The 14,021-nt window shown below is 46.0% G+C and overlaps 1 long non-coding RNA gene across 3 annotated transcripts in view; it reads left to right on the top strand.

Moving 5' to 3' along the window:
• Positions 1 to 1,905, top strand: part of LOC105373281 (uncharacterized) — a 29,833-nt gene extending 27,928 nt beyond the window's left edge. For all 3 annotated transcript variants that reach the window (XR_949164.2, XR_949165.2, XR_949166.2), the window contains exon 3: positions 1,641 to 1,905. This is a non-coding gene — a long non-coding RNA (uncharacterized LOC105373281). The remainder of the gene's footprint in view (positions 1 to 1,640) is intronic.
• The last annotated feature ends 12,116 nt before the right edge of the window (positions 1,906 to 14,021 follow it).

The following is a 14,021-nucleotide window of genomic DNA, read 5'->3' as shown; positions in this document are numbered from 1 at the left end:
GCAGGAGAATCACATGAACCCTGGAGGTGGAGGTTGCAGTGAGCTGAGATCATGCCACTGCACTCCAGCCTGGGCGACAGAGTGAGACTTCAATTCCAAACAAACAAACAAAAAATAATGAGTAGTTCAACGAGGCCAGCGGACAGCAGGACTGAATTAGACAGGTGACCAGAGCTGAAGCTTGCTAATGGGCGTGCAGCAGCGTAAGGACCCACCGTTCTGGTGCTGAGCCTGCTGGAGCCATGTGCAGCCGACATTCAGCAGAATTCACCTGCTGATTTTGGGAGGCCTGGCACCATCAAGGCTCTGGTTCTTAGATTTCTTGCTCTCACATATTCATAACTTACTTAATCCAACTTTCCATCTACCCCATGCCTGACCTGTGCCTGTACAGCTCAGTGTGACTGGAATAAAGCACACAATCAAGGTATGGTAGTTAAAAAAATGCCCATAAATTATTTGGTATTCCTTACTTTAAGAGGTGGAGGTAAATTCCTCTTTTGAGAGTGGGCTGGACATAGCAATTTGCTTCTAATGAATAGAATAAACCTGAAGTGAGTAGACAACTTCAGAGACTAGATTGTAAAAAGCAGTTCCCTCTCTGATTTTTGTATCACTTGTTCTGGAGGAAGTCAGCTGCCGTGTCATGATAACATTGAAACAGCCTAAGGAGAGACTTACGTAATGAAGAACCGAGGCCTCCTGCCCATGGCCATGCGAGTGAGCCATCCTGATAGGAGATCCTCCCACCACAGCTGAGCCATCAGTTGACTATAGCTGCAGTCGGTGTCTCATGAAAGTCTTAGAGGTCAGAACCATACAGCTAAATTCCCAAATTCCCTATGCACCGAAATGGTAAGATAATAAATATATGCTGTTCTAGACCACTGAATTTGGGAAAATTTGTCATCTGCAAAAAATAAATAATATATGTGTTGATCTGTCTTACATTAAATTGATAGTCACTAACTCAACTGGCCCTTAATGCCACCTGGCAGCATCATGTCTCTTATCCAATTTTCAATATCACTTATTTTATTTTATTTAAAAATTTTTTTGAGACAGAGTTTCGCTCTTGTTGCCCAGGCTGGAGTTCAATGGTGTGATCTTGGCTCACTGCAACCTCCACCTCTCAGGTTCAAGTGATTCTCCTGCCTCAGCCCTCCAAGTAGCTGGGATTACAGGTATGCACTATCATGCCTGGCTAATTTTGTATTTTTAGTAGAGATGGGGTTTCACCATGTTGGTCAGGCTGGTCTCAAACTCTTGATCTCAGGTGATCCACCTGCCTTGGCCTCCCAAAGTCCTGAGATTACAGGCATGAGCCACCATGCCCGGCCAGATCACTTACTTTATACCTCCTCTCTCTCTCTCAAATCTCCAACACCTCTGCCCCATTCTCACTCTCAGCTAATGCCCTTCACTCCTATTTCCAAGAGAAAGGTCAAAGCACTGAAAACAGAACTTCCCAAGGTCCAACTGTGACATCTATCCTCACACTGTGTCTGCCATCTACCCTGTGACAAGGGATGAACTGTCTGTGTCCTAAGGCCAACCTCTCCCCTTGGGCTCTAGATTTGATTTCCTCTTGGCCACTCAAAAACATCCCTCCTGAAATTCATCCCCCTCTCTATTTCTAGGTGGAAAGAGCATCGACCTGAGTCCAATCAGCTACTTACAGGTCAACTAAGAAGAGGACTGAGAGTTAACCATTGGATTGAGCAACATCAAGACCACCTGGATATTGGCCAATGGTTTTACCCTGACCATCTGCCCAGAGGGATGGTAAGAGAGAAAGGCAGGACAGAAATGAAAGGACAGTGAGAATACACACCACTTTCATGAAATTTTGTTGTGAAAAGAAAGGAAGAGGCCCGGCATGGTGGCTCACATCTGTAATCCCAGCACTTTAGGAGGCCAAGGCGGGCGAATCACCTGAGGTCAGGAGTTCGAGACCAGCCTGGGCAACATGGCAAAACCCCGTCTCTACTAAAAATACAAAAGTTAGCCAGGCATGGTGGCATGGGCCTGTAATCCCAGCTACTCAGGAGGCTGAGGCGGGAGAATCGCTGGAACCCAGGGGGCAGAGGCTGCAGTGAGCCGAGATCGTGCCACTGCACTCCAGCCTGGGTGATAGAGCAAGACTCAAGGTAAAAAAAAAAAAAAAAGAAAGAAAAGAAGAAACAGGACAGGGGCATGGAGTCAAGAGAGATTAAACATTTTCTTTTTTTAAGGCAGGAGAAACTATAGCAAACTTGTATGGGAAAGAAAACGATCCAGTAGAGACAGAGAAAACTGATGCAGGTGCATCTGTGGCTGCTTGGCAGCAGGAACTGAGGTCAGGGAAGCATGTGATATAGTGACATGCCCAGCAAGAACAACCTCAAAGTACACTCGTAAGTCCCCATATTGCATGTGGAGCTCTGTGAAGGGTTGCACGATGAACTTGAGAGAGACACAGTTCCTACCTTCATGGCCTTGTTTTCTAAGACTAGGTCAGAGGACTCTCCACATTTATGCCCTCTCTTTTCTATTGTATTGTATTTTATTGTATTGTATTGTATTGTATTGTATTGTATTGTATTGTATTGTATTGTATTGTATTTATTTATTTATTTGAGACAGGGTCTCACTCTGTCACCTAGGCTGGAATGCAGTGCCTATTTATGGGCATGATCATAGCTCACTACAGTCTTGACCTCCTGGGCTCAAGCAATCCTCCCAACTCAGCTTCCCAAGTAGCTGGGACTACAGGTGTGTACCACCACACCCAGTGAATTTCTTATTTTTTGTAGAGACAGCAGTTTTGCCATGTTGCCATGGCTGGTCTTGAACTCCTGGGCTTGGCCTCCCAAAGTGCTGGGATTATAGGCATGAGCCACTGCACCCAGCCTGTCCCTTTTCTAGCTAGTAGTTTTCTTTCAGAGGAAATCAAAATATCTCCCTATTTACGCTAAATATGAGTCCTGAACTGTTACAGCTTCTGGGGTAGATGAGGTTAGGGTCTCTGTCAAATGCCAGCATTCAGAGGCATATAAGAAGCACTCACTGTTTTCCTCTATTCACAACACATTTCGCTTCTGACACCAGATGTGTGGGTTTTTCCCCCACACTGAACAATTTTCCAACACCAGCTGGGTGTCCTACAATTTAACTCAATTCTGACACTAATTGCCTGGAGTTAGAACAAGTTAATGGCTCAGTCCTACAAGACCATCCCCACTTCAGAGCCCAATCATAAGTGGTGGGTCCCCAGGTCACCCACAACTTCTGTCTGACTTGGTTACAAATTGGAGGTTCCCACGACCTCCTCCTCATGTTCACTAATTTGCTAGAATAGTTCACAGAAAGCAAAGAGAAAAGTTACTAAGTTATGGGTTTATCATAAAACGATGCAATTCAGGAACAGCCAGATGGGAGAGATGCACAGGGCAATGACATGTCTTGGCTGTGTCCCTACTCAAATCTCATCTTGAATTGTGACTCCCACAATTCCCACATGTTGTGGGAGGTAACTGAATCATAAGGGTGGGTCTTTCCCATGCTATCCTCTTAATAGTGAATAAGTCTCATGAGATCTGATGGTTTTATAAGGAGGAGTTCCCCTGCACATGTCCTATTCTTGCCTGCCACCATGTAAGATGTTCCTTGCTCTTCTGCCATGATTGTGAGGCCTCCCCAGCCATGTAGAACTATGAGTCCATTAAACCTCTTTCCTTTACAAATTATGCAGTCTCAGATATGCCTTTATTAGCAGCATGAGAACAGACAAATACAGGCAAGGTATGGGGAAAGGGGTGCAGAACTTCCATGCCTTCTCTGGGCACACCACCCTCCCAGCACCTCCATGAGTTCAGCAGCCTGGAAGCTCTCTGAATTCTGTAGCTCAGGGATTTTTTTTTTTTTTTTAGCTGTGACCTTGCCTTTCTCTCTCTTTCTCTCTCTCTCTCTCTCTCTTTCTCTCTCTCTCTCTCTCTCTGTGTGTGTGTGTGTGTGTGTGTGTGTGTGTAGATTTCTTTCTTTATTATTATTTTTTAAACTTTTATTTTAGGTTCAGGGGTATATGTGCAAGTGCTGCGGTTTGGAGTTGTGTCCCCACCCAAATCTCATGTTGAACTGGAATTGCCAGTGTTGGAGGAGGGGCCTGGTGGGAGGTGACTGGATCATAGGAACAGTTTAATGGTTTAGCACCATCCCTCTAGTGCTGTTTTAAAAGTGTGTGGCACCCCTCCTTCCTCTTGCTCCCACTATGTAAGATGTGCTTGCTTCCCCTTTGCCTTCTGCTGTGATTGTAAGTTTCCTGAGGCCTTGACAGAAGCAGAAGCCTATACAGCCTACAGAACTGTGAGACAATGAAACATCCTTTCTTTATACATTACCCAGTTTCAGGTACTTCTTTATAGCAGTGTGAGAATGGACTAATAAAAAAAATTGGTACCAGAGAAGTGGAGCATTGCTATAAAGGTACTTGAAAATGTGGAAATGACTTTGAAACTGGGTAATAGGCAGAGGTTGGAAGAGTTTGGAGGGCTCAGAAGAAGACAGGAAAATGAGGGAAAGTTTGGAGCTTCCTAGAAACTTGTTGAATTGTTGTGGCCAAAATGCTGATAGTGATATGGACAATGAAGTCCAGGCTGAGGAAGTCTCAGATGGAGACCTCTCAGATGGAGCTTATTGGAAACTGGGGTAAGGTTACTCTTCCTATGTGTTAGCAAAGAGACTGGCAGCATTATGCCCCTGCTCTAGACATTTGTGGAACTTGAACTTGAGAGAGATGATTTAGGGTATCTTGAGGGAGAAATTTCTAAGCAGCAAAACATTCAAGATGTGACTTGGCTGCTTGTAAGAACCTACAGTCACATGCATAAGGAAATAAATGATCTAAAACTAGAACTTTTATTTAAAAGGGAAGCAGAGCATAAAAGTTTGGAAAATTTGCAGCCTGGCCATGTGGTAGAGAAAAAAAAAATTTCAGAAGAGGAATTCAAACCAGCTGCAGAAATTTGCGTAAGTAAAGAGGAACTGAATGTTAATAGCTGAGACAATGGGGAAAATGCCTGGAAGGCATTTCAGCAAACTTCATGGCAGCCTCTCCCTTCACAGGCCCAGAGGCCTAGGATAGAAGAATGGTTTTGTGGTCTGGACCCAGAGCCCCACTGCCCTGCACAACCTCGGGACAGTGCTCCCTGTGTCCTGGCGGCTCAAGCTCCAGATATGCCTCAGGCAGCTGCTCCAGAGGGTGCAAGCTGCAAGTATTGGTGGCCTCCACATGGCATTAAGCCTGTGGGTGTGCAGAGGACAAGAGTTAAGGCTTGGGAGTCTCTGCCTAGATTTCAGAAGATGTATGGAAATGGCCGAATGTCTAGGCAGAAGTCTGCTGCAGGAGTGGAGCCCTCATGGAGAACCTCTACTAGGGTAGTGCAGAAGGGAAATGTGGGGTTGAAACCCCCATGCAGAGTTTCCAGTGGGGCACTGCCTAGTGGGGCTGTGAGACGAAGACCACCATCCTCCAGACCCCAGAATGGTAGATCCACCAACAGCTTGCACTGTGCACCTGGAAAAGCCACAGGCACTCAACACCCTTGAGAACAGCCATGGGAGCTGAGCCCTGCAGAGCCACAGGGACAGAACTGCCCAAGGCCTTGGGAGCCCAGCCCTTTCACCAGTGTGGTCTGGATGTGAGACACAGAGTCAAAGGAGATTATTTCAGAGCTTTAAGATTTAATGACTGCCCTGCTGGGTTTTGGACCTGCATAGGGCCTATAGCTCCTTTGCTTTGGCCAATTTTTCCCTTCTGGAAAGGGAGTAATTATCCAATGCCTATACCCCTATTGTATTTTGGAAGTAACTAACTTGTTTTTGATTTTACAGGCTCATGGGTGGAAGGGACTTGTCTTGTCTCAGATGAGACTTTGGACTGGACTTTCGAGTTAATGCTGAAATGAGTTAAAACTTGGGGGACTGTTGAGATGGGATAATTGTATTTTGCAATGTGAGAAGGACACAAAGTTTGGGATAGGCCAGGGACAGAATATGGTTTGGATTTGTGTCTTCGTCCAAATCTCATGTCAATTTGTAATCCCCAGTGTTGGAGAAGGGGCCTGGTGGGAGGTGATCAGATCATGGGGGTGGTTTAATGGTTTAGCACCATCCCCCTAGTGCTATCTTAAAAGTGTGTAGCACCTCCCCTACACTTCCTCCTGCTCCCACCATGTAAGATGTGCTTGCTTCACCTTTGTCTTCCACCACGACTGTAAGTTTTCTGAGGCCTCCTCAGAAGCAGAAGCCTGTATAGCCTGCAGAACCATAAGCCAATTAAACAACTTTTCTTTATAAATTACTCAGTTTTAGGTATTTCTTTATAGCAGTGTGAGAATGGACTAATACAGCAAGTTTGTTATATAGCTAAGCTCCTGTCATAGGGATTTGTTGTACAGATTATTTCATCACCCAAGTACTAAGCCTAGTACCAAATAGTTATTCTTTTTTTGTTCCTCTCCCTCCTCCCACCCTCTACCTGCAAGTAGGCTCCAGTGTCTGTTGTTCCCTTCTTTGTGTTCATGAGTTCTCATCACTTAGCTCCCACTTACAAGTGAGAACATGTGGTATTTGGTATTCTTGCATTAGTTTGCTAAGGACAATAGCCTCTAGCTCCATCCACATTTCAGTAAAAGACATAGTCTTGTTCTTTTTTTGACTGCATAGTATTTCAGGGTGTATATGCACCACGTTTTCTTTATCCAATTTGTAATTGATGGGCATTTTGATTGATTCCATGTCTTTGCTATTGTGAATAGTGCTGCAAGAAACATTTGCTTGCATGTATCTTTATGGCAGAATGATTTATATTCCTTTGGGTATATACCCAGTAATGGGATTGCCAGATATAATGATAGCTCTGTTGTTAGGTCTTTGTAGCTCAGGAATTTTTATGGAGGCTTTATCTCATAGGCATGATGGATTATCAACCTAGTCACCAGCTCCTCTCCCCTGCCTGGAAGATGGGGAGTGGGGCTGAAAGTTCCAAGCCCTCCCTTCCTCCCTCCCTCCCTCCCTCCCTCCCTCCCTCCCTCCCTCCCTCCTTTCTTTCTTTCTTTCTTTCTTTCTTTCTTTCTTTCTTTCTTTCTTTCTTTCTTTCTTTCTTTCTTTCTTGTTTCTGAGACAGGGTCTCTCTCTGTTGCCTAGGCTGGAGTACAGTGGCATGAACATGGCCCGCTACAGCCTCAATCTCCTGGGCCCAAGCAATCCTCTTGCCTTGGTTTCCTGAGTAGCTGGGACTACAGGTGTGTACCACTATGTCCAGCTAGTTTATTATTTTTTATTTTTAGTACAGATATCATCTCACTGTGTTGTCCAGGCTGGCGCTGAACTCCTGGGCTGAAACGATCCTTTTACGTTGGCCTCTCAAAGTTCTGGGATTACAGTTGTGAAGCAACTTGCCTGGCTTTTTCCAAGCTTCTAATCATGGCTTGGTCTTTCTTGTGACTAGCCCCCATTCAGGAGCCCACAAGAGTCACCTTATTAGAACAAAAGACTCTTCTATTCCCAGGAAATTCCAGGGATTTAGGAGCTCTGTCAGGAACTAGAGTCAAAGACCAAATATTACAACAAAAGATGCTCCTAGCACATTTATCACCCAGGAAATTACAAAGATTTTAGAAGCTTTGTGCCAGGAACTGAGGACAAAGACCAAAATACTTATTTCTTATTAAATCACAAGATCACAAGAGGTATCCTGGCTGTGTCTTCCCTTCCTCCACACTCATCCCCAGCCTCTGGGACTCACAGAGGAGGTAAACTTGGGAACTCCTCTCCCTACCTGCCCAGCCCCAGTGCCACTACCTGAATTAAGCCATCATCGATTCTTGCTTGTTTCAGAGCAACTGCACCCTAACTATAGAGAAGAAGTCCACATCCATTTAGGATGGCATTCAAGGCCCCCAGTGTCTTTTCCTCTTGTTGTTTGCCTCCTGCCTCACTCCAGGAGTGAGTGATCTAGAATGATCTCATTCTAGATAATTAATATTCTGTTGGCACTGTGTGCAGAGCTGTTCCTTCTTGCCATTTTCTTGCTGTTCCCCTTGACTCCAATGCCCTTTTTACACTGCCTTCTTTCAAAATCATCATCCTTCAAGCACCTTATCCTACAGATCTAACTGGAAGGCCACCTCTTCCATGAAGCCCTCCTTATCACTCATCATCCTCAGAATCAACCACTCTTTCTTTGAGCATTGCCTGGTCTTTCCACTGCATGGAAGTTCTTTGTGGGCAGGCATGGTGTCTATTTGTCTTTCGATTTTTTCTTTTCTTTTCTTTTTTCTTTTTCTTGAGACAAGGTCTTGCTCTGTCACCTAGGCCAGAGTGCAGTGGCGCGATCTCAGCTCTCTGAAACCTCCACCTCCTGGGTTCAAGCAATTCTTCTGCCTCAGTCTCTTGAGTAGCTGGTATTACAGGTGCCTGCCACCATGCCTGGCTAATTTTTTGAAATTTTTATAGAGATGGGGTTTCACCACGTTGCTCAGGCTGGTCTGGAACTGCTGGGCTCAAGTCATCTGCCTGCCTTGTCCTCCCAAAGTGCTGGGATTGCAGGCCTGAACAAATGCGTCTGGCCTCTATTTGTCCTTTTATCCTCCTACGAGCATTGACCCCTGCCCAGTGGAGTGTTGGCACAGAGACGGCTTGCAGATCTGAGTGAGGCTTGCAGATCTGAGTGAGGCACAGAGATGGCTTGCAGATTGGAGGGCTGAGTGAGTCATTGGATTTCTTCCTTTTAGGCATCACATCTCACAGCCTACTGCCCAGGTCGCATCTCCCTGTTGGTATGTGTGGGTAGCGTGCCTTAAAAAGAGCATGGGAATTAAAATCAGAAGACTTGGGCTCAAGTTTGCTACTTGAGTGACCTTGGGGTAGCCTGACAATATGATCTTTCTTACAGACTTGTCGTGAATCTCTAAGCAGCCATGGCAGGAAAGTGCTATGTAGACCTTGCATTCTATTCAAATGTGAGTTTTTGCCACATTACTTAGTCATACCAGGTCAACAGGATCTGTAGGCCTCTAGGGGGCAGTCTCAGCTGGCCTCCCAACTGGCCTTGACTGAGCCCTTTCCTGCCAGGATGAAGGCCTGAGCTGTGACCCCTAAGATGCCATGAGCGATCCTGCAGACCTGGAGAGAGAATGAGCCCACACATCTCAACTCATCCAGGCTTCTGGTTAGGTAGGGTTTGCTCTTACAGCTCTAGAACTGTTTGCATGTGCTGGGCACTTGATATCCTGGGCAGATGGGAAGCCAATCTCTTCCTTAGAGGCCACCTACCAATGCTTGTATCATAGCCAGCCTTCCCCTCTGTAATGCCTTTTTTTCTCCTTTTCAATTTTAAAATTGAGATATAACTCACATAACATAAACATCGCCAAAGTGTACATTTAAAGTGTGATATTTATTTATTTATTTGAGACAGGTCTCGCTTGCTCATCCAGATGAGAGTACAGTGGTGCAACCATAGCCCACGGCAGCCTCAACCTCCTGGGCTCAAGCGATGCTCCCAGCTCAGCTTGACAAAGTGCTGGGATTGCAGGTGTAAGCCACTGTGCCTGGCCTAAAATGTGACTTTTGGTTGTGCAACTATCACCACCATCTCATTCCATAATAATTTCATCACCCCAAAAAAGAAACCTTGTAACTATTAGAGTCAGCCCCACTTCCCAATCCTTGGCAACCACGACTCTGCTTTCTTTCCCTATGGCTTTGCAATTCTAGGCATTTCATAAAACTGGAATTATACAATGTATGGCCTTTTGTCATTCGCTTCTTTTACTTTGCATGTCTTTAAGATCCGTCTATGTTGTAGCATGTAACAGTATCTCGCTCCTTTTATGGACTCCTTTTATGGCTGAATAATATTCCATCATATGCATATACCACATTTTGTTTATCCATTTGTCCATCGATGGGCATTTAGGTTGTTTCCACTTTTTGGCTATTATGAATAATGCTCCTATGGGCATTTATGTACACGTTTTTGTGTAGACATATGCTTTCAATTCTCTTTCAATCCTTGAAGTGGGATGTTACTCAGAGTTACTGTGTAATTCTATGTTTAGCATTTTGAGAAACTGCTGGACTGCTTTCCAAAACAGCGGCACCATTTTACATTCCCACCAGCAATGTATGAGAACTCTGTAATCCTCTTGACACTGGATTCAACCCCTGCTTGCCTTAGCATTCTGAAACTGTCAGGCCCAGGAGAGAGAATTCTGCAGTTAGCTTGCACCCATCTTTTCCCTGAAGTTATAGTTATGCAAGACAACAAGCTTTGCAAACTTTAATCATCTGAAAAGAACACTTGGACCGCTGGGTGCAACCAGAGTGATTTATCTTCCTTTCTAAGGGGATAATACAGCCTTGATCCTTTTGACTGAGAGGAGCCATGTATAGATACAGCTCAGCATCCCCACTTGGCTGGTGTGCACAGAGAAGAGGCAGCATTCACCTGGGCTCTTTGCCGAGAAGTGTTCTTATTAAGGAGGTGCTGCCAGGCGTGTGTCAGTTGTGTCTGCACACCCTCATCAACCTCTTAGTGGATCCTCAGGCTGCCTGGCAAGGAGCTGGCACTGGTTCCTGTGGTGCCTGGGGTGTGAGGCTGGAGAGACATCTGTCCAGGTGGACAGAGACAGTGGATGCAGGCTGCTTCCTCCTGGGTACCTGGCTGGAGAACACATAGATGTTTGCTGTCTGCTCATGAGGCGCTGGGGAGCAGAGACTTCTCAACTCCACTTGTTCTTTTTGTGCCTGGATACAAGGAAGGCTCTATTTTCAGTGGCTCAGACCTGCCAGCCTCGATGAGGAAGGGTTTGTTTGCACAGCATCTGGATGTGGGAGCGAGGTAATTCAGGCAGGTGGGGTAGGAAGGAGATTGCTAACCTCGAAGGAGTTCCCTTGTGCAGAAGGAAAATTACCAGCTGTGCTTATTCTGTGATTGGATGGAGGAAGGGCTTGTTCATTTTAGTCAGTCTAAGGGGAATGTTTCTGGGAGGTGTAGGGGAGAAAGAGGCAAGAAAAACAATCCCATAGGATCCTTGCTAATGAACTAATGACCCTGCCGGAAGGTGTCAGGTCCATTATACCTGGTGCACGTTTATCCACAGCACATCTCATACCTGTAGGTGTATATTCATGCAACAAATATTTATTGAGTCCCTACTATGTTCCAGGAGCTTTCTAGGGTTCAGGAATACAACAATGAGTAAAACAAACAGGGGTAATTGTCCTCGTGGAGATCAGAGCCTTATGGGGTGGAGAGGCATTAATTAAATGATTACAGGAATCGGTGCGGGACAGGGTCTTGCAGGTTGCTATGAGAGCGTATAAGAGGGGAAAATGGCTTAGTATGAGGTGTGGAGTTGTCCAGAAAACCTTTTCTGGGGCACCCAGGTCTACTGGATGAACAGGGCTGGGGTGGGGAGAAGAACATTTCAGGTGGAGGGCACAGAAGGTGTCAAGCCCTGAAGCAGGACAGAACACAACATTCCAGGAATGGAAAGAAAGCCAGGAGGGGAGAATGGAGCAGGAGGAAAGGTAGGCAGGGCCAGCTGCTCAAGGTCTAATGGGCTGTGCAAAATCCCCCTTACTCTTCTCCCAGGAACAGTGGGCAGCCATTGGAGGTTTTAAGCTTGGCAGTGACACAGCCAAGATTTGCAATGACCATTCTGTTTTGACTGAATGGAGTTGTGGTTCTGGTTTTAGGGGTGGTTGGGGCCACCCAAGTGAGACCGTGTCAACTGTGTGGGCCGGTGAAAATGTAACTGTGAACACTAGATGAGCTTAATAGTGGGCAGATGTGGAATCAAAGGGAAAGTGATGTTGAGGGAAGGAAGACGGGGTCCCCAAGGGGGCATGGACCATAGTCTTTCTGAGGCTAGCTTTAGCCTCTGAAGGCCATTTTGGCCTTGAATTTCTTTTTCTTTCTTTCTTTCTTTTTTTTTTTTTCAGGCAGGGTTTCATCACTCTGTCACCCAGGCTGGAGTGGGTGACTCACTGCAGCCTTGACCTGACCTCCTGGGCTCAAGTGATCCTCCTACCTCAGCCTCTTGAGTAGCTGGGACTACAGGCATGCACCACCATGCCCAGCTAATTTTTCTTTTTTTTTTTTTAGAGACTGGGTCTTGTTATGTTGCCCAGGCTGGTCTTGAACTCCTGGGCTCATGCAATCCTCCTGCCTCAGCCTCCCAAAGTGCTGAGATTACAGATCTGAGCCACCATGCCTGGCCTGGCCTTGAGTTTCTGATGAAACCTGGGAAACCACATGTTTTTCTGAACACCTGGGAGCAACCCTTCTTTCTACTTGCTCAGACCTACCCACCTAGCTAAGTGCTTAACACGTGGACTGTCATTGGCTTAGAAGGTCAGAGTTGGAGGCCTCAGAGGTCGGCTGGTCCAGAGCTTCTCAGAGGGCATCCCTGGATCCTTGTATTAGCATCATCTCTGTGGTACTGGTTTAAAAACTGCAGATTCCTGGGTCTTACTTCAGACCTCCTGAATTAGAACTCTTTTTTGGGAGGGATGGGGGTGGAGGATTTGTGGTAGCACCTATTAGGGAATCAGCATTTTGAGCGAGTGCTCCAGGGGATTCTTCTGCACACTATATTTGTTTCCTGCGTCTTCTGTAACAAATGACCACAAATATGGTGGCTTAGAACAACATACATGTATTCTGTCACCGTTCTGGAGGCCAGAAGTCCCAAGGCTGTGAAATCGAGGTGTTGGAAGGCCCACATCCCTCCAGCGGCTCTAGGGGAGAATCCATTCTTGCCCCTTCCAGCTCCTGTGGCTGCTGGTGTTCCCTGGAGTGGGGCAGGATCTCGCTAACCTCTGCCTGCCTCATTTCATCACCTCTCCTTTTTGTCTATTGTCAAATCTTCTTCTGCCTTCCTCTTAGGACACTTGTGTATTTAGGGTCAGGATAATCTTCCCATCTCGAGATCCTTAACTTAGTCATAGCAGCAAAAACCCTTTTCCCAGATAAGGGACTATTTACAGGTTCTCAAGATGAGGACCTGGTATCCTTGGGGGACCATTTTCTAGTGTGCCACAAACACTGAAGTTCAAAAAGCATTGGTGTGGTTGACATCCTTCGGGTAGACCAGATGTAGGAAACTGGAGCCCAGAGAGAAGTGACTAATCCAAGGTCATACAGCTTGTAACTCACTTCTGAGATTGGAATCAAGGCTCCTGATTCCAAGGCCTTTCTGGGAATCCTGGCTTCAAGGAATAGTGATACCTGACATTCACTGAATGTTACTTCATACTGTTCTAAGCAGATGACATGTACTATCTCATCACTCTTCCGAACAACCCTTTGTGGTAGGCTCTCCTATGCTCTTCCAGTTTATAGATAAAAAAACTTAGGAGAAAAGAGGTTAAACAACTTGCCCAACATGACAGAGCAAATTACCGGGGGAGCTGGGATAGAAACCGAGGCAGTCAGAGGCCAAAGCGTTCACTCACAGGTGGAACCTCCTCCAGTCAGGCTTATTCCAAATCTGGCCTGTGAATCACTACTCTCTGGTATTTTTTGCCTTCCTAGGAAATATGCACCAAAACATTTCTGGCAGGAAAGGAGGCCCCTGTAACTACTTGCCTTCTTCCTGCTCAGAGCCATGCCTCCAATTCCTTGATGAATATTTGCTTCAAGCTGCTCAATAAGCCTTCTCATCTCAGTCAATGGGCTTGAAGCAAGGTAAGCAGGTCTTGCAAAGAGGTGTGTGGAGGGAATGCCGGGGTGGGGTCAAGATCCTAATGGATTTCTTAGGCTAATGGCCTGGGATGGGCCCTGGAAAGTTCCCAGACCCCAAATTATTTGCAAAAGGCAGAAGAAGAAGGTGGGGCAGATTGGCCTGGACCTTGGGTACATATTTGTCCCTGGCCATGACTCACTTCCTTCTGGAACAGGGCCTCAGGTGAAATGTTTGTCTGCTCCACCTCCTTTAGTGCCTTATAGCTCCCCTCCCAGTGGAGCAGGT

The sequence above is a fragment of the Homo sapiens genome, chromosome 1, assembly GCF_000001405.40.
Source record: "Homo sapiens chromosome 1, GRCh38.p14 Primary Assembly".
Lineage (NCBI taxonomy): Eukaryota > Metazoa > Chordata > Mammalia > Primates > Hominidae > Homo > Homo sapiens.
The sequence above is the reverse complement of the archived record's forward strand: the minus strand, read 5'-3'. Positions and strand labels throughout refer to the sequence as shown.